The sequence below is a fragment of the Homo sapiens genome, chromosome 9 (assembly GCF_000001405.40).
Source record: "Homo sapiens chromosome 9, GRCh38.p14 Primary Assembly".
NCBI lineage: Eukaryota > Metazoa > Chordata > Mammalia > Primates > Hominidae > Homo > Homo sapiens.
Window position 1 is genome coordinate 123,353,927 of NC_000009.12, and position 17,067 is coordinate 123,370,993.

At 58.8% G+C, this 17,067-nt stretch overlaps 1 protein-coding gene across 8 annotated transcripts in view, besides 9 other annotated features; it reads left to right on the forward strand.

Annotated features, from left to right (window-relative positions):
- Positions 92–201: a silencer, noted in NCBI's record as "silent region_20249". NCBI's record gives its function as "represses an Ori minimal core promoter by ATAC-STARR-seq in GM12878 lymphoblastoid cells {active_cell/tissue: GM12878}" and the evidence as "EXISTENCE:reporter gene assay evidence [ECO:0000049][PMID:35858748]".
- Positions 139–17,067, forward strand: part of CRB2 (crumbs cell polarity complex component 2) — a 26,262-nt gene continuing 9,333 nt past the window's right edge. For 2 of the 8 annotated variants that reach the window (NM_173689.7, XM_011518556.4), the window contains exons 1-7: positions 2,271–2,428; positions 8,939–9,262; positions 11,991–12,186; positions 12,301–12,440; positions 13,246–13,431; positions 13,647–13,760; positions 16,182–17,054. In NM_173689.7, the coding sequence (NP_775960.4) occupies positions 2,335–2,428; positions 8,939–9,262; positions 11,991–12,186; positions 12,301–12,440; positions 13,246–13,431; positions 13,647–13,760; positions 16,182–17,054 (1,927 nt within the window). In that variant the 5' untranslated portion in view covers positions 2,271–2,334. Of the gene's footprint in view, positions 571–1,204; positions 1,364–2,270; positions 2,429–8,938; positions 9,263–11,990; positions 12,187–12,300; positions 12,441–13,245; positions 13,432–13,646; positions 13,761–14,852; positions 15,021–16,181; positions 17,055–17,067 lie in introns of those variants that run through there. The other 6 variants (XM_047423244.1, XM_047423245.1, NR_104603.2 and 3 more) reach the window with 4 other exon arrangements.
- Positions 222–271: a silencer, noted in NCBI's record as "silent region_20250". NCBI's record gives its function as "represses an Ori minimal core promoter by ATAC-STARR-seq in GM12878 lymphoblastoid cells {active_cell/tissue: GM12878}" and the evidence as "EXISTENCE:reporter gene assay evidence [ECO:0000049][PMID:35858748]".
- Positions 222–733: a biological region, named in NCBI's record as "H3K4me1 hESC enhancer GRCh37_chr9:126116439-126116938".
- Positions 234–733: an enhancer, noted in NCBI's record as "H3K4me1 hESC enhancer chr9:126116439-126116938 (GRCh37/hg19 assembly coordinates)". NCBI's record gives its function as "activates a minimal SCP1, AML or CMV promoter by ChIP-STARR-seq in naive H9 embryonic stem cells {active_cell/tissue: H9 hESC(naive)}" and the evidence as "EXISTENCE:reporter gene assay evidence [ECO:0000049][PMID:30033119]".
- Positions 402–571: an enhancer, noted in NCBI's record as "active region_28940". NCBI's record gives its function as "activates an Ori minimal core promoter by ATAC-STARR-seq in GM12878 lymphoblastoid cells {active_cell/tissue: GM12878}" and the evidence as "EXISTENCE:reporter gene assay evidence [ECO:0000049][PMID:35858748]".
- Positions 3,952–4,619: an enhancer, noted in NCBI's record as "H3K4me1 hESC enhancer chr9:126120157-126120824 (GRCh37/hg19 assembly coordinates)". NCBI's record gives its function as "activates a minimal SCP1, AML or CMV promoter by ChIP-STARR-seq in naive H9 embryonic stem cells {active_cell/tissue: H9 hESC(naive)}" and the evidence as "EXISTENCE:reporter gene assay evidence [ECO:0000049][PMID:30033119]".
- Positions 8,766–9,628: an enhancer, noted in NCBI's record as "H3K27ac-H3K4me1 hESC enhancer chr9:126124971-126125833 (GRCh37/hg19 assembly coordinates)". NCBI's record gives its function as "activates a minimal SCP1, AML or CMV promoter by ChIP-STARR-seq in naive H9 embryonic stem cells {active_cell/tissue: H9 hESC(naive)}" and the evidence as "EXISTENCE:reporter gene assay evidence [ECO:0000049][PMID:30033119]".
- Positions 12,102–12,665: an enhancer, noted in NCBI's record as "H3K4me1 hESC enhancer chr9:126128307-126128870 (GRCh37/hg19 assembly coordinates)". NCBI's record gives its function as "activates a minimal SCP1, AML or CMV promoter by ChIP-STARR-seq in naive H9 embryonic stem cells {active_cell/tissue: H9 hESC(naive)}" and the evidence as "EXISTENCE:reporter gene assay evidence [ECO:0000049][PMID:30033119]".
- Positions 14,074–14,723: an enhancer, noted in NCBI's record as "H3K4me1 hESC enhancer chr9:126130279-126130928 (GRCh37/hg19 assembly coordinates)". NCBI's record gives its function as "activates a minimal SCP1, AML or CMV promoter by ChIP-STARR-seq in primed H9 embryonic stem cells {active_cell/tissue: H9 hESC(primed)}" and the evidence as "EXISTENCE:reporter gene assay evidence [ECO:0000049][PMID:30033119]".

Here is a 17,067-nt window from a genome sequence, read left to right on the forward strand (position 1 = left end):
GCAGTGCTGCTGGTGGGTGGGGGGGGGGTAAACTGAGGTTATGTCGATTCCCTTCCCAGGTGGGGAGGACAGGGGAAGTGGATGCACCTGGGGGACCATCTCAGAGGAGCTGGCCCACTCTTACTGCCTTCTCCAGATCCGGACCAGGGAGCGGTCAAGATGGTGTGCCCTTGTCTGACCTCCGTCCTGCCTGCTGTCCAGCGACTCCCTGGCTTCCTCCCCGTCACGTGGGACTCCTGTACCCGGTGCTGTCGGGGGAGCCCCCCTCCATACCCTCCAGACCTCACAAGACACTTCCAGGTCTGGCCACAAGGTGGAGTGTGGCGGCTGCAGGACAGTGCTGGGGGCCGGGCTGCAGAGGAGACTGGACCTGCGCCGGGTGACCTCCCCGCTCTGTGAAAGTGTGGGAGTTTGTGTCTGTGCATCCAGAGAACCAGAGGGTGGTGGTTGACTTGCCGTGCTCCCCCCAGCCCCCCATTGGGATTGCCTGGGTCTCTGGGGGATCACTGAGAAGCTGGATAAAGAGAGCTGGCACTGTCGCCTTGGCTCACTAACGCCACCATTTTACAGGTGAGGAGACTGAGGCCCAGAGAAGGAAGTCACGTGCTGAGGTCACCGGCTAATCAGTGGCTGAGCTGGGCTCGAACCCAGATCTCTTACGCTGTGAGGCCTCTGCTTTTCCTGTGGCATGGAGAGGGGCTTCTCCCACCTGGGGAGAGGGATCCTGTTGTATTGGAGAGGCAGGGGATTAAAGATGGACTGAGAGAGGTTAGTGTCCCAGAAACCAAGGGGCAATCCCTGCCCTGGAGAGAACAGGCCTCAAGGGCAGGGATGGGGCAGGGGCAGTGGATAAGGAGTCTACCCAGGCCTTTTTGGGTTCCCTCCTTTGGTCCCTGGGGACCCAGGGCTGTGGCACTTGCCCCGGGCTAGAGGGTCGGCCAGGGCCTGTGTGGTGCCCACTGCTCCCTCCCCTGCACTGCAGGGGACCCTTGCCCATCCCTCTAGCTCATCTGGACCTCCCTCAATGGCTCCTGCTGTCTTTCCAGGCTGTGTCCTCCCGTGTCAGGGACACATCCCAGAGCCCAGGGCCTGCGTGGGCTGTATCCACGGTTACTGAATAGGGACAAACAGGCATGTATTGGCAGGGGCCGGTGGCTCATTTCAGGAAAGTCCCTTCAGCAAGAGGATTCTCTCCCCACTGGGGCTGAGGGTGGTAGAAGAAAGGAATGTTGTTCTATGTTGTAGTGTCTCTGAGATGACCTGGCTTCCTGAACCAGGTCCCCCTGAAGAGCTCCTCCTGTCCACCCCAACAAGAGGCCAGCTGGAGAGCAAGCAAACATCGAGTGCAGCAGGAGACTATAAGGTTAGACAACAAGAAGGACTTCCTGGCAGGGGAGAGCAATGCTTGCTTGGTTAGAGCTGCCTTTCAGTAGAATGGGCTGCTTTGGATTGCAGTGAGGTCGCTGGAGTTGCAAACAGCAGAGCCAGAGATCAAGGTCAAGTGGAAGAAAGCTGGGAAAGGTTCAGTTTGGCTGGTGAAGGGTGGAGAGGGTAAAGGGAGGCAGGGACCACCGTGGTGCAGGGGTGAGGTGCCCTGCAGGGAGCTGATCCTGAGGCCGATGGTGGGAGGAGCTGTGTGTGGTCGGGTGGGACGGGGTGGGGACAGCAGGAGACACTGAGAAGGTGGCATGGCCAGGAGCTAGGGGCTGACCGAGTGTGGGGAGGGGGGAGTGGGGAGGGGGCGTTGGGCTGCCCGATGGGAGGTGCCTTGGCTCCGATGGGAGCACTGGGGAGCAGCAGGTGGGGGGACGAGCTGGGTGGGAGGGGCTGCAGCTTCCCAGCAGAGACAGGGTCTGGGAGGCGACTGGACTCGAAGGCCTGGGCTTGGGAGAGAGGCCCGGGCTGGAGAGGTGGGGAGGGGGATCCAGGAGAGGGGATAACTAAGGACTTGGGAGTAGCTGGCATCACCTGGTGAGACGAGAGTCCTGAACAGCCCCCTCTCCAAGGACAGAAATTTCTCCAAGGAGGCTGACCTGAGAGGTGGGAGGAGAGTGGGGCAGAGGGTCAGGAGGGAGAAACCAGTGGGTGCCAAGACCAGGTCAGCCCCACAGGCTAGGGGGCTTGAGGACTTGGGGCTGATGTCTAGGGACGTCCACGAGGTGGAGCAGCCCAGGAGGCCTGGGTGGGAGGAGGAGGCGGTGGCGGGGAGGGGAGGGAGGGGCTGGGCCTCTGTCCACAGCATTAGTGCTGGTTGGAGGGACGAGGGGGGTGCGGAGCCAGCCAGGCCGCCCTCCCGTTCTCACAGCAGCCGAGCAGAGCGCAGAGCGGGCTGCCATGGCGCTGGCCAGGCCTGGGACCCCGGACCCCCAGGCCCTGGCCTCTGTCCTGCTACTGCTGCTCTGGGCCCCTGCCCTTTCCCTCCTGGCTGGTGAGTTGGGGCCCATGTCTGGAGGGGCCTGGGAGAGGGTCTGTCCCCCAAGACAGATACCCCAAGCCTTGGCTGCTGGGGTGGTGGGTGGGCTGGTCCGCGTGGGTGCAGGCCTGAGCTGTGGGGTGCACAGGAGTGCGCGGCTGTGGCCCCCAGACTCTGTGGGGCTCCACGGAGGTGAGTGTGTTCTGAGGCTCGGGGCTGTTTCATGTTGAGGGGGGTTGTAAGTTTCGGGGTTGGGGGATCGGGGGCTGGGCATGATTTGGGGGAGCTGATGCGGGTGAGGGATGGGGTGCGTGTTTTGGGAGGTGCTGTGTTGCATCCTGTAAAGGGCTGGGGGACTTCTGGGTTTCTAGGGGCTGAGTTTGGGGAGTTGCAGGTGGCATAAGCCTCACCCCAGAGCTTGTTCTGTGTCGCATGCTGGGTTGTGGGGCACAGGTTGTGGGTGTGTTAGAGTTGGGAGGTGGATGAGCTGTCTGGGGTGAGCCGTGAGTTGTGTCCGAGGAGTTGGGTGTGGTGAGCTGTGTCCTAGCACACGCTGTGGGGTGTAGGTTGTCCAGGGTTGAACTAGGTCTTTGCTCTCAACATGAGGGGTGTGGGATGTGCACAGCCGACCCCAACTCGGGACTGAGTGGAGAAGCGTGAGGGAGACTCAGGGAGCTGGGTGCCTGCCCGCACCCCTCCATTTGTGCGGTAGCCCTGCCTGTGCTGAGGGCTGCTGGGGATGCTCTGGGTCCCTGTGGGGTGGCTGGGGATTTGGGAACATGTGTGTGTCCCCTGCTGCCCCCTCCCCAGCATTCCAAGGCCAATCTGAAAGGGCTCCCTGAAGCCAGACCACATTTGCCAAGCCCTTTTTGCTTTTGTCCAAGCTCTCGGAGCCTGGAATTCCTCCTGGGGGGTCCAAGGGAACGCTTGGTGTTAGTTACTATAGTTACAGGGGCCGGGCCTGGGAAGTCCCCTGCCCCCACCACCACAGGCTGGGGAGGGAGCCAAGGAGGGCCTGGGCTCTCCTGAGGCTGGGGGAGCCCTCCCTGCCCCAGAGCTCCACAGGCTGTAGGGTGTGGGGGCCAAGTGTCTCCCAGTCCCACCTGGGGACCCTCATGTTTCCCGCACTCACAAAGCTTTCATTTCCTATCCTCTCTATGGGGCCCTAGGGAGGATGAGGACCCCATTTTGCAGTGAAGGAAACCAAGGCTCAGAGAGGGACGGGGACTTATGAGCTGGGCTCTGCTGGCAGGCGACTTGGGCTCCATAGAGGGGTGGGGCATGGTGGCGGGGGGCGGGGTGGCTGCTCCTCTCTGTTCTCTGCATACAAAGCACGTGAGATCCCGGTCTGTGGATCGGTGCTCTGTCCCCTGCCCTGTGATGCTCACACACCCACACTCCGCACACCTGTGTGGCATGCCCAAGGGCACACAGCACCACAGGGACAGGTGCTACAGACACATGTGGATCTACCAGCACATGCACCTACCTACACACATGGCATGTGCCTGCACACCAATGTGCACACCCCAACACGCACATGTGGACATGTGTGCATTCACACTCAGTGTGCACTCACAGGGGACCTGGAGGCACAGAGTGGATGGAGGCTGTGGGGGGTCTGGACACTGGTGTGTACACTCAACCCATCAGGCCTGCTGGGTTGCCCAGGGGCAGCCTTTCCTCTGCCATTTCTGTGCTGGGAGCGCCATCCCTGGGGATCCCTAAAAGTTGGTGGGGTACACTGCAGGCATGACCATTTCTGCATGCTGGTACCCTAGACTGCCTGCCGGGAGGGGAGGGATTGGGGATTTTGTCACTTGAAAACCAATTTCCATCCTGGAGGGGATGGGGGCTTCTGGAGGCCATGGGCCCCTGGCTTTTCTCCCCACCCCTGCCAGGCCCTGAGCTGGGCCTCTCCATCCTGGGCCCAATTTGCCACAAAGGCCCGGCTGGTTGCCATGGAGAGGACCAAGCATCTTGGAGTACAATGGGGCACGTTGGGCTCTCATATCCACCCTCCCTTCCCCAAACACCCAGGGAGCCCAGCAGACAAAGGGGCAGTGAGTCCAGGCCCCAAGTCCGGCCCCTCCTCCAGCCAGAAGGGGGTGGGGGCCTGCAGGACAGAAGCAGAGATGGAGCAGAAAGCCACACACATTCAACCCAATGTCAGGATCCTTTGGACAGTGGGTGTCTGCCTCAAGTAAAGAATTGTTAATGAGTAAGATCAGCCACTCCATGGCAGGCACTGTGCTATTATTAACGAGGTCTAATTTAATTCTCCCAACAGCCTATGAAGTCAGCTCTGATACCCCTAGTTTACAGAGGAGGTAAACGAGGCCCAGAGATGGCCAGTCCCAGAGCCAGGAAGCCCCAGAGCCAGTGCTGGGATTTCACAGTACACTGTGCTACTTGCCTAGGCAAAGTCACGTCTCTTCTCTGTCTCTACAAAACGAGGACAGACTGGCTTACTCCGAGCGCTGGTATAAGGATTGGAAGAGAATGCAGTGAGCGGTTCCCCACCCCAGGTTTTGGCATGGAACCCCCAATTTCAAGGGAAATTTTAGATGGAAGCCCATGAATAGTTAATAGTAAAATTGTTAAAAGTGGCCTGTTTGGGTGGCAGGTGGGGAACCCCACCTGCTCTGTCTCCCCCTCACTTCAGGAGGTAACTCCCTGGAACTGTGCTCTGAGCCCAAACTCTCAAGGGTTGGTCAGTGCCAGGCACAGGGTAGGTGCTCCGTCCCTGACAGCTATTGTTGCAATTACTGTTATCAAAATTATGTCTTTTAACCTCAGAAGGTAAACATTTTTGAAAAAGAGTATGCCAAATTATTCTGCCCAAAAGAGAATTTCACCCTTTCCTGATGACTGAGTGAGTGTCTGCAAGCCTCCATGGTTATTCAGCCCTACCCTTGTAGGGTAGAGCCTTGGGGCCCAGGGATATTAGATGAACAATTTCTTCCCCTATGCTAGAAGTTCCCACACCTTATGAGATCTTAGGTCGCTTCTTAGAAATATTCTGTCTCTTGATTTGTTGGGACAGGAAGCTTCCCCAGTAAATGCTTCTTTTTTTGTTTGTGGTTTTTCGTTTTTGTTTTGTTTTTTTTTTTTTTTTTTTTTTTTTAAGAAAGGGTCTCACCCTGTTGCCCTGGCTGCAGTGCAGTGGCAAAATCATAGCCCACTGTAGCCTCGACACCCTGGGCTCAAGCCATCCTCCCACCTCAGCCTCCCAAGCAGCTGGGACTACAGGGACCCACCCCATGCTTGGCTTATTTCGTTTTGTTTTCATAGAGCCAGCGTCTCACTATGTTTGCACAGGCTGGTCTTGAGCTCCTGGCCTGAAGTGATCCTCCCACCTCAGCTTCCCAAAGTGCTGGGATTACAGGTGTGAGCCACTGCACCTGGCTTCAGTAAAACACTTCTCATCAGTTGTTGGCTGTTATAAACAGGCCCATTCTAAGTGCATGAAAAGTAGGAGTTACTAATGAGTGAGGCCTGAGACACAGTGGGATTACTGACAGCTGGGTTCTGGATAGACGGGGAAGATTGCCTGCTCTGCCCAGGCTGATATTGGAAGCTGTATTCCTGTGAAAACCTTTAGAGATTTTTTTTTTTTCCTGGGTGAGGCAGCTGTAATGTACTAAAGCAACAATATGTGAGTGGCAATTTAGGGTTTGTAAAGTGAAAATTTCACATGCATTGGGAGATGTGGACCTCTGGGAAATCAGGAGCTGATCTGATTCTTCGTCTCAACCTGGGCAAAATTATCAACCTCTCTGAGTTACAAAAACAGAAATTTTCTTAATGGCACCCACCTTTTCTGGTCTGAATCAAGTATAACAATGTAATAATAGATGCACAGGCCCAAGCACATAGTACACACTCAGTAAACAGCTGGGTCCTCCTGCCCCTCCCCAGGACAGGGCAGCAGGTCGAAGGGGAGGGGCGGGCGTCGGTTAATCCCTCCCTGCCAGGTCGGCCCAGGCAGCCTGAGGTCAGGAGGGATTTGTAAAGATAAGCACAGGCCCCTCGTTGCCCTGGCAACAGGCCCCGCCCCTCCAGCCTGGCCCGGGAAGGGGGGACAGCCCCTCCTCCGCCCTGCTGCCCTCCACACCCCGCCCCTCCTTGCCTCTCCTGTCTGGCCTGGGCTATCGTGGCCTCCTAGGCTCACTCCTGGAAGACAGAGACAACCTGAGGTCAGCGGTTCCCACACCTAAAAGTGAAAGGAATCCCCCAGGAGCAGGTTGCGATGCAGATTCTCAGGCTCAGGGCCCAGTGGTTCTAAATTTGGGGTCTGGAGTGGGTTCCAGGAATCTGTATTCTTAATGTGGGCCCGTGATTCCGGGAAGCTTGGAGTGAGGCCCTGGGTTTGGATTCCAGCCTCCCTTGGGCTGTGGACTGTGAGGCTGCTTCGAGTCTCCCTTTCCTGAGCTGTAAAACAGGCATCATAATCCTATCCACCTCGGAGGTAAATGCCAAGATCAACTGAGATGACACATGAAAGATGGCTGTCCCTCCCAGGCAGGACTGTGGCACTATTGCATGCCTCCCAGGACGGGCAGCTCCTTCCCTTCCTGCCTGGCTCTGACTGGAGAAATTCCTTCCTCCCATGGGGTTGGACTCTGTCTCCCGGGCTCTGTCATTTAGAGCCCATCTGCTCCCATGGTCCTGGGAAGATCCCTTGTGACAAGGCACCTCCCCCGCCCCCCAGGATCCTTTCCCCGGTGCTGCCTCCCCAGCGTGGTCCCAGCTGCTCTGAGATAGGGGGCAAAGCTTCAGATTGGATGGGCGGGGAGGGGGGGGGGTTCCTTGCACTGCACAGGTGAGGGACAGTGCTCTGTGGGAATTAAGTGAGGGACCTGTTGGCACAGGCGCTGGCAGCCGGGGCCCTTTACCATGGGTTATGAGTGCTGCACCCTCCTGAGCAGTGCTGGCCACACCCAGTCCCAGGGCTGTGCCCTGCATCACCTTGGTGAATCCTTTCAACACCTCCATGAGATGGGCACTTTTTGCACCCCAGATACAAACCAGGACTGCCCGATGCCCCAAACCTGTGCCCTTTCCTGGGGGAGCTGGAAGGATGCGGGTCAGGCCACAGGACAGCCCTGCCTGGAATGCGGATGACGCCTGAGAGGCTGCCAGCCTTATCTGGGGGGCTTCACCAGAGTGGGGGAGGGAAGGGTGCAGGGTCTGAGCTGTTCTGGGGTCTGGTGAGTGTCTAGATGACAACCTGGGTGGGGGAGGGGCACCTTTGGGAGCTCCGGATGGGGGTGGGGGGAGGAATGGAGGCTGTGTCTTCTGGAGGCTCTCCTCCCCCATCCCTTACCGAGTTGTTACCAAAAGCAGCCCTTGACTGCGGTGCTGGGGAGCTGAATAGTTCAGCATTTGATGAGGGGATTCTTTTATGATCTAATTTTCAGACTGGGAAACGGAGGCTCTGTAGGAGAAATGACTTACCCAGGGTCTCATAGCTAGGAACTTTCTGAGCTGAAATTGAACCCAGGTCTGTTTCACTTCAAAGCTCAAGTTCTCACCTGGGCATTGTGGTGACAAGGCTCTCAGGAAGGCAGGAGGAGAGGAAGGGGGATGAGGATCTCTGGGCGTGGCTTCCAAGCCGGTTGGTGACCCTCTGTTAGAGCCCCGGTGCTGGAAGCATCATGGTGGCCAGGGGCAGGTGTCCGTGAGCCATCTCAATACCTGCTCTGTACCATGCGACCTTGGCCAGGCCGGCCACTCAGGTGTTTGCTGATGGGGGATGAAATTAGGGCCAGGGACCCTCTAGAAGTTCCTAGGCCAGTGGCTGGCAGGGGGTGGGTAGTGATGTGGAGAAGGGGTAGGAATGAGACCAGCGGAGCACACGATCCCTGCTTTTGAAGTTGTCCACCCATCCTCCAGAGGTTGAGGTCGGGCCCATCTCCAGTTTCACCCAGGGATGGAGTTACCAGACCCCTGGCAGAAGAGGTGGAGGGGGCAGTGGGAGGAGCCTCACCCTCTGGGGCCTCCTTGGATGGATGGGGCCTGCAGGAGGGAGACCCCTCCCCAGGTGGAGCTGAAATAATCCAGATAGACCTTGAAGCCTGTCCCAGCGAACACTAACTTGCTGTGTGAAGTGGACAGGGCTGGGCAGGCTCAGCAAGCCTTCACTTTCTTTCCTGGGCCTCCTTTTGCTGTCTGGTGCAATGGGCATGACGGATACTGCCTCAAAGGGGGACTGCAGGGACAAGACAGTGGAGGGAAGCTCACGGGGCTCAGGGAACCTCTGCTCACTAATCCTGCCCAGAAGCCAGACATCCTTGGTGCTGTTTCTCTGCTATATAGGCTCTCCTAAAACCGTTCCCAGTTCTGGGTGCAGATGTGTGCAGCTTACTGGGACCTGGCTTGCAGACCCCTGGCCCTCTGTCCATACTGTGCATGCAGAGACCCACGTTGCTTTTGGGGTCTGGGGTGGGCCTGAGAGGGTGGGGAGGAGATTGTCCTTGTAACCTCTGCCCACCCTGCCCAGCCAGTTTCTTCTTTCTACAGGGACGGTGCCTTCAGAGCCCCCCAGTGCCTGTGCCTCAGACCCGTGCGCTCCAGGGACCGAGTGCCAGGCTACCGAGAGTGGTGGCTATACCTGTGGGCCCATGGAGCCCCGGGGCTGTGCCACCCAGCCATGCCACCACGGCGCTCTGTGTGTGCCCCAGGGTCCAGATCCCACCGGCTTCCGCTGCTACTGCGTGCCGGGTTTCCAGGGCCCACGCTGCGAGCTGGACATCGATGAGTGTGCATCCCGGCCGTGCCACCATGGGGCCACCTGCCGCAACCTGGCCGATCGCTACGAGTGCCATTGCCCCCTTGGCTATGCAGGTAACAGCCTGGGCCGCCCTGGGAGGAGGTCTGTAATGCAGATCGCATCAGCTGCTCAGAGTGTAAGCATCATGGCTTCAGCTTTGCCTTTCGTGTAGGGACGCCCCCAGGCATCCGGGCAGCTCTAGGGTATATCCACTTGGTCTGACTACAGAACTGATGCCTGGCAGCTCTGGGTGAGAGTATGTATGTGCGGGTGCTGGCGTGGTGTGTGGCGCATCTCAGGCACTCGGTAAATGTGATTTCAGTCCAGCCTAGAGTTCAGTTTGGCTGCGGGGGTGGAATACCCCTCATTCATCTCTGGCAGTGTGAACCTGCCTGGCGTGACTTTAGTGAGGATGCCCAGATAGTCTTTCTAGCACTTCAGGCCTGTGCCAAGCTGTCATGTAGACACTGTCTACACGACAGTCACCATCAGCTCATTTGAACACTCCTGATGTGGTCTGGAGTGCAATGTGGACCCCTGGCCTCTGGGTCTCCCCCAGAGTTCTAGCATAGACATACAAGGTCTCGTTCAAACTGTAGTGTTGACATACCCCAGGGATCGCTGCTGTCTGGAGTGGGATAATATATACGTAAGTGCTCAGAAAAGTGACTGGCACTAAGGGTACCTTCTCCAGAGTGTGGCCCGTCCCAGGCCCACCCATGGTCTGAGCCGAGAACATCCTGGAGCGGCTTCCCAGAGAGGCCTGAAGTCGGGAAGGAGGGCGCAGCTGGGGACAGAAGGGGCGCAGTCTGGGAGCGAAGCTGAGTCCAGGGCAGAGTCTGAGTCTGCAGTGTAGATGCTCTGGATCCTACTTCAATCCTGAATTCAGACAACTGTACTCTGAGGGCAGAGGGCAGTTTGAAGTCACTTCAGAGCAAGAGGTACAGATTGGGGGGCTGGGTTCCAGGGCAGGGGGCCTACAGCGAAGAGATGGCAGCTGATGAAGAGAGATTTGGGAAGCTGGTTCCATGCATCTTTCTCATCGTTCCAGTGTCTCAGCGTCTGGGTGTATTAGTGTACATGCCAGTGCAGGTCACATTCGTCCATGTGTCTCCTAGTTCCAAGTTCTGTTTTGCATCTGTAAAGATCTGCCAGTACCTGGGGGTGTCTGCAGTCTGAGTGCATGTGTGGGCAGTGGGTTGTTCGGGCAGTGGGTTGTGTGGGCAGTGGGTTGTGCGGGCAGTGGGTTGTGCGGGCAGTGGGTTGTGCATCCGGATGTGTAGCACTCACACACTTCGGGTGACTCTTCCTGGGTAAGCTGTGGATGTGAGTGGGGGCAGCATCTGCCGTGACTCATTCTCTCCTCTTTCCATTCCAAGCCGGGTGGGGGAGTTTGGGATTTCCAGACAAGGCCTGGCTCCCCCTGGCACAGAGGGTGGGAGTGGGGATGGGGAGGGAGGAGGGAAGGGTCATGGGAAGGTGGGGCCATGTTTTGTGCTCAATGAACTGAGAAGGGGGAGGGTTCCAGCTGGAGTCAGCTGGGCCTCTGGCCCCCGCTTGACCAAACCCACTTAGGGGGCAGGGCCTGCTGGAGTCTACAGTGACACGTGAGTCCAGGATGATCTCAGGCAGCGTATCTGAAACCCTGGGACTCCCCATCTCCCTTCCTCTTCACCATCACCCTGGGAGAGCCACTCAGCTGTCGTGATTCGCCCAGGACTGCGAGGGTTCTGGGGACTTGGTACTTTCAGTTCTAAAACCAGGACAGTGCAGGGACACTGGGAGGAGTGATTACCCTACTCAAGCATCTCCTGCCTCTCTGGGATCTGAAAGCCACCAGAGTGGACCTTCTAAAAAGTAGGTAGGGCCAGGTGTGGTGGCTCACGCCTGTAATCCCAGCACTTCGGGAGGCTGAGGTGGGTGGATCACTTGAGGCCAGGAGTTGGAGACCAACCTGGCCAACATGGTGAAACGCCTTTTCTACAAAAAAATACAAAAATTAGCCGGGTGAGGTGGCATGCACCTGTAATCCCAGCTACTCTGCAATCTGAGGCACAAGAATCACTTGAACCCAGTGGGCAGAGATTGCAGTGGGCTAAGATTGCAGCACTGCACTCCAGCCTGGGCGACAGAGTGAGACTCTGTCTCAAAAAAATAAAAAACAAAAACAAACCCAAAACAACTAACTAAAATGTAGGTGGGACCAAGTCACTTACCTGTCTGAAACTTTCAGGATGGACCCAGAGGTTACCTGGTCCCCAAGGCACTGACACCTCCCACCCGACTCACCTCCGCCACCCTCTCCCTTGCTTCCAACCCTCCAATAACCCCGCCTAGGGCATCATGGCCCTGCCCCTAGTGGAACTTGCCTCTTGCTGCAGTCTCTTTGGAATCCAACTGCTGCCCACAGTCCCCTATCTGAATCCTTCAAAAGCCTCTTCTTCTAGGAAGCCTTCCCTGAACAGAGCAGACCCCGGCTATTGCTTTCCCAAGACCCAACCCCTTTCCTTGTTGAACTTGGCAACATCACCTAGCTCATTTAGGTAATTACTGGCTGAATCACCCCCCACCATGTCCTGGCCTAGACTGCTGTGAGCCCCATGAAGGCAGGGCTGTCTGTCTCGTTTCTCTCCCTGCGGTTGCTGGCATGACCCGTCCCCCACCCCCCAACCACCACCACCACCATCCGGCTCTGAATGAATGAATCCACGAGTCTCTAACTCTGGAGCAGGCCTGGCGCGACCTCTTCCGCCCTGCTCTGGGTGTCCATCCTGCACCCTGTGTGTCCCCTGCCCTGTCCAGGCGTGACCTGCGAGATGGAGGTGGACGAGTGCGCCTCAGCGCCCTGCCTGCACGGGGGCTCGTGCCTGGACGGCGTGGGCTCCTTCCGCTGTGTGTGCGCGCCAGGCTACGGGGGCACCCGTTGCCAGCTGGACCTCGACGAGTGCCAGAGCCAGCCGTGCGCACATGGGGGCACGTGCCACGACCTGGTCAACGGGTGAGCGAGCGGCGGGGCAGGCGGCAGGGGCGCCGGGTGCCCGAGGGCGGGGAGGCCAGGCGCGGGGCAGAAGGGGCAGGCGCGCGCTCAGCTCCGCCGGTGCGCCCTCCCCAGGTTCCGGTGCGACTGCGCGGGCACCGGCTACGAGGGCACGCACTGCGAGCGGGAGGTGCTGGAGTGCGCATCGGCGCCCTGCGAGCACAACGCGTCCTGCCTCGAGGGCCTCGGGAGCTTCCGCTGCCTCTGTTGGCCAGGTGTGTGCGTGCAGGTGCGCGGCCTGGCGGGGGGAGGGGTAGGTGTGCGCCTGTGCGGCCTGGGGCGGTGGGGCAGGTGTGTGGCTGCACGCGAGTGCCCGCTGGGTCCTCGGGACCAGAGTGTGTGTGTGATTGCAACCTGTCGGAGCCTCAGTTTCCTGATCTACAAAATAGGGCTGATCGTAGCGCCTGCTCCTGGGGTTGCTGCGGGGAGCTCGAAGGTGCGACGCCTGGGAAGCCCTTGGGGAGGGCCTGACAGCTGCAAAGGGCTCAGTAATTAATGCTAGTAATAGTAGTAAGACTAGGCCGGGCGCGGTGGCTCAAGCCTGTAATCCCAGCACTTTGGGAGGCTGAGGCGGGCGGATCACGAGGTCAGGAGTTCAAGACCAGCCTGGCCAACATTGTGAAACCCCATCTCTACTAAAAATACAAAAATTAGCCAAGCATGGTGGCATGTACCTGTAGTCCTAGCTACTCAGGAAGCTGAGGCAGGAGAATCGCTTGAACCTGGGAGGTGGAGGTGAGCAGAGATCATGCCGCTGCACTCCAGCCTGGGCAACAGAGTGAGATTCTATCTCAAAAAAAAAAAAAAAAAATTAGTAGTAAGACTAGTAATAGCAGTAATAGGCCACTGCTGCTGAAGGCTGCCGTGGTCATTCCTGCGGCCCTTAGTGTGTCCCTCCCTCGCCATTCGTGGCTTATTCCGAGCTGCGGTCCCTTGCTGGCCCTCGCTAGCCTGGTCATAGTGAAGAGGTGCTGCCCGGCAACCCCGTGAGACCTGATGTCCGCGTGTGTGTGCCCCCAGGCTACAGCGGCGAGCTGTGCGAGGTGGACGAGGACGAGTGTGCATCGAGCCCCTGCCAGCATGGGGGCCGATGCCTGCAGCGCTCTGACCCGGCCCTCTACGGGGGTGTCCAGGCCGCCTTCCCTGGCGCCTTCAGCTTCCGCCATGCTGCGGGTTTCCTGTGCCACTGCCCTCCTGGCTTTGAGGGTGAGCCCCTGCTGGGGAAGCGGTCAGCCCATGTCCAGATGCCCAGGGAGGGATCTTGTGCCCACCCCCCCACCCCCCCCACCCCCCCACCCCACACCCCACACCCGAGTCTGCCCTCTCTCTTGGACTCAGTCTCTCTAGCTATAGAATGGACCCTCTCAGCCCCTGCCTGGCTCTGAGGGTGCAGGTGGGACCCACAGCTGGGCCTCTTACAGGAGCCGACTGCGGTGTGGAGGTGGACGAGTGTGCCTCACGGCCATGCCTCAACGGAGGCCACTGCCAGGACCTGCCCAATGGCTTCCAGTGTCACTGCCCAGATGGCTACGCAGGTGTCTGGGGTGGGGTGGGCCCTGGGACCATCAGAATTGGTGGTCCTCAGGTGAGAAGGTCCCTTCTGTCTGGATGTGTGGATTGATGGGGTCAAGGAGATCAGGGAGGAGGTGGGTATGGTGGCCCAGGTGACCGCTGAGGGTGGCTGAACTGGGACTCGCTTTGGAGGTGAGACTGGGGCTCAGGAGTGTAGTCCTGGCAGCTGGGGCCATAGTGGGCTGAGGTTGTCTGGGAGAACGTGTGGAGGGATGGTCTTCAGGGAAGACGGAGGTGGTTCAGCCAGGACAGAGAAGGAAAGGGGGGCTATTGCAGAGAGTTAGGGGGCAGCATCTGTAGAAGGATGACTCTGACCTTTGGGGAGCTGGGGCCTGTCAGGCAGGAGTTGGGGGTTCAGAAGTCTGCCCCTGCCTTGGGTACACGCAGATGCACAGACACAGGACCCCGGTGAGCCCAGGGAGCTCCACCGCCAACACTGAACGTCCCTGCCCCCTCTGGAATGCCTGCGACACCTCCCTCACACCCGCCCGCATTCCTGCTGGGGCACACTGCCTCCTCCCCCTGGCAGGCTCCTGGGCACAGGCTCCTCCACCAGGGGAAAGAGATGGTGGTCACCTCTTCCCCTCTCTCACTCGCCTGAAGATGGTGGGACTCAGTGTCCCCCAGCCCTGGATGGCTGACACTCCTGGGGGTCCCGAAGGCCCATCCACTGCCTCCATGGGCCGAGGTTCCCCAAGTCCTGCTCCAAGAGCCATGGCCTCCTGGGTACCTGGCACACAGTGGGCCCACACAGCACGTCTGGCCTCTGGGAAGCATTTGCTCTGCATTTTGTTTTTTCCTTGCCACAGCCCCATGAGGCAGGGGTTTAAAACCCCATCTTACAGCTGAGAGGATGAGGGGGTGTCATCCCCCAGGTTCACCACTATCAGCGGGAACCCGGCTCCTCTCCCAGTTGAGCTCACTGTTGGGTGACAGGGAGGGCAGACCTCTGAGGTCAGAGCCAGGGAGGGGGGACCCCAGCTGCAGGGCTGGGCTCTTTGCCCATCCTCCCTCCCTTTAGGCCATGCTGGGCATGGGGGAGGCCAGTGCCTGGCATTCCTGAGCAGGCTCCGAAGGAGGCAGCTGGGCCAGGCAGGGAGCTCTGCCTCCTCCCCACTTCCCCAGCCTCAGTGCCCGCCCACCACTCTCAACCTGTCTGGAGGGCATGGCAATGGAGCCGGGGGCTCTGTGGACCTTCCTGGGCCACCTGTGGCTCCTGGCAGGTATGGAGGAATGTGGGCCCTGGGCAGGGGGAGGTTGGTGGGTGGTGGTTCCTAGGAAGAGGCTGTGGTGTTTGTGAGCTGATCGAGGCTGGGCTTCAAACCCTGGTGACTTCTCTGGGCCTGGGTTCCTCCAGCTGGGATGTGGCTCTGGCTGAGCTACAGTGGGCTATGGCTTCTGGACCCAAGCTGGGGCCTGAGCACCTGAAGGGATCCCTAGAGGGAGGATGAGGCAGCCCCTTCACAGCCAGTGTGGGGGCCCTGGGGCAGAGGGACTGAGGGGTTAGAGCCTGGGAGGCCACTCAGAGTGCCTTGGGTACTTGCACTACCCCACTAGCTCCTCCATGCCATCACTCTGTCCATAAAAGCCATGTCAGGCCCTTTGCTGGGCACCAAGGACATATTCAGGTCCCTGAAGATCTCAGCTGAGTAAACAAATACTTTTAATACAGGGTTCTGGGGAGCTGTGCCTGGGACTGCAGAGTGACACAGTAGTTTGAGGTTGGGAGTTAGGGAAAGCCTCTGGGCCCTTTGAGTTTGGGCTTTGCAGGATGAGTAGGAGTTTGAAAGGAAGGGTAAGGGTGAATGAGGCATTCCAAGCAGACAGAACAGTATGAGCAAAGCCCCAGAGTCACGACTTTCCAGGAAATGCTCGGAGGAATGGGACGTTCAAGATTTGTGGGAAGCAGGATTGAGGCTTGAGAGCCTGGTAGGACCCAGCCCATGAGGGTGTCTTAAATGTCAGGGTGAGTGATTGGACTTCAGGCGGCAGAGGAACCCAGCCTGGCGATGCTTTAGAAATGGACCTCTGGCTACTGGTGGAGATGGATGGGAAAGGGCTTCTGAAGGCTGGCGAACTGGGGGATGCGGGATGGTAGCCCAGACAGCTGGTAAGGCAGGAGATGGGGGGTAGGAGAAAGGGGCATTGGAGAATGTTTAGGAGATTAAATCTACAGGGCCTGGACACTCACCAGACATGAGAAGGGAAGGGGCATCTTGGCTTCTGGCCTACGGGGGGACTTGAGGGGACCATGAGAAATCCTCTGGGAATTGGTTTGGCTGATAGGTACTGAGGTCCCCATCATAAGAGGCATGTAAGTTCTGGGTCAGTACTGTGATTCTGGCCCCAGACATTACTGAACCTTGGCTTTGTCTCTCCCAAAGGGCCGACATGTGAGGAAGATGTGGATGAATGCCTGTCGGATCCCTGCCTGCACGGCGGAACCTGCAGTGACACTGTGGCAGGCTATATCTGCAGGTGCCCAGAGACCTGGGGTGGGCGCGACTGTTCTGTGCAGCTCACTGGCTGCCAGGGCCACACCTGCCCGCTGGCTGCCACCTGCATCCCTATCTTCGAGTCTGGGGTCCACAGTTACGTCTGCCACTGCCCACCTGGTACCCATGGACCGTTCTGTGGCCAGAATACCACCTTCTCTGTGATGGCTGGGAGCCCCATTCAGGCATCAGTGCCAGCTGGTGGCCCCCTGGGTCTGGCACTGAGGTTTCGCACCACACTGCCCGCTGGGACCTTGGCCACTCGCAATGACACCAAGGAAAGCTTGGAGCTGGCATTGGTGGCAGCCACACTTCAGGCCACACTCTGGAGCTACAGCACCACTGTGCTTGTCCTGAGACTGCCGGACCTGGCCCTAAACGATGGCCATTGGCACCAGGTGGAGGTTGTGCTCCATCTAGCGACCCTGGAGCTACGGCTCTGGCATGAGGGCTGCCCTGCCCGGCTCTGTGTGGCCTCTGGTCCTGTGGCCCTGGCTTCCACGGCTTCGGCAACTCCGCTGCCTGCCGGGATCTCCTCTGCCCAGCTGGGGGACGCGACCTTTGCAGGCTGCCTCCAGGACGTGCGTGTGGATGGCCACCTCCTGCTGCCTGAGGATCTCGGTGAGAACGTCCTCCTGGGCTGTGAGCGCCGAGAGCAGTGCCGGCCTCTGCCTTGTGTCCACGGAGGGTCCTGTGTGGATCTGTGGACTCATTTCCGTTGCGACTGTGCCCGGCCCCATAGAGGTCCCACGTGCGCTGATGGTGAGGAATAAGC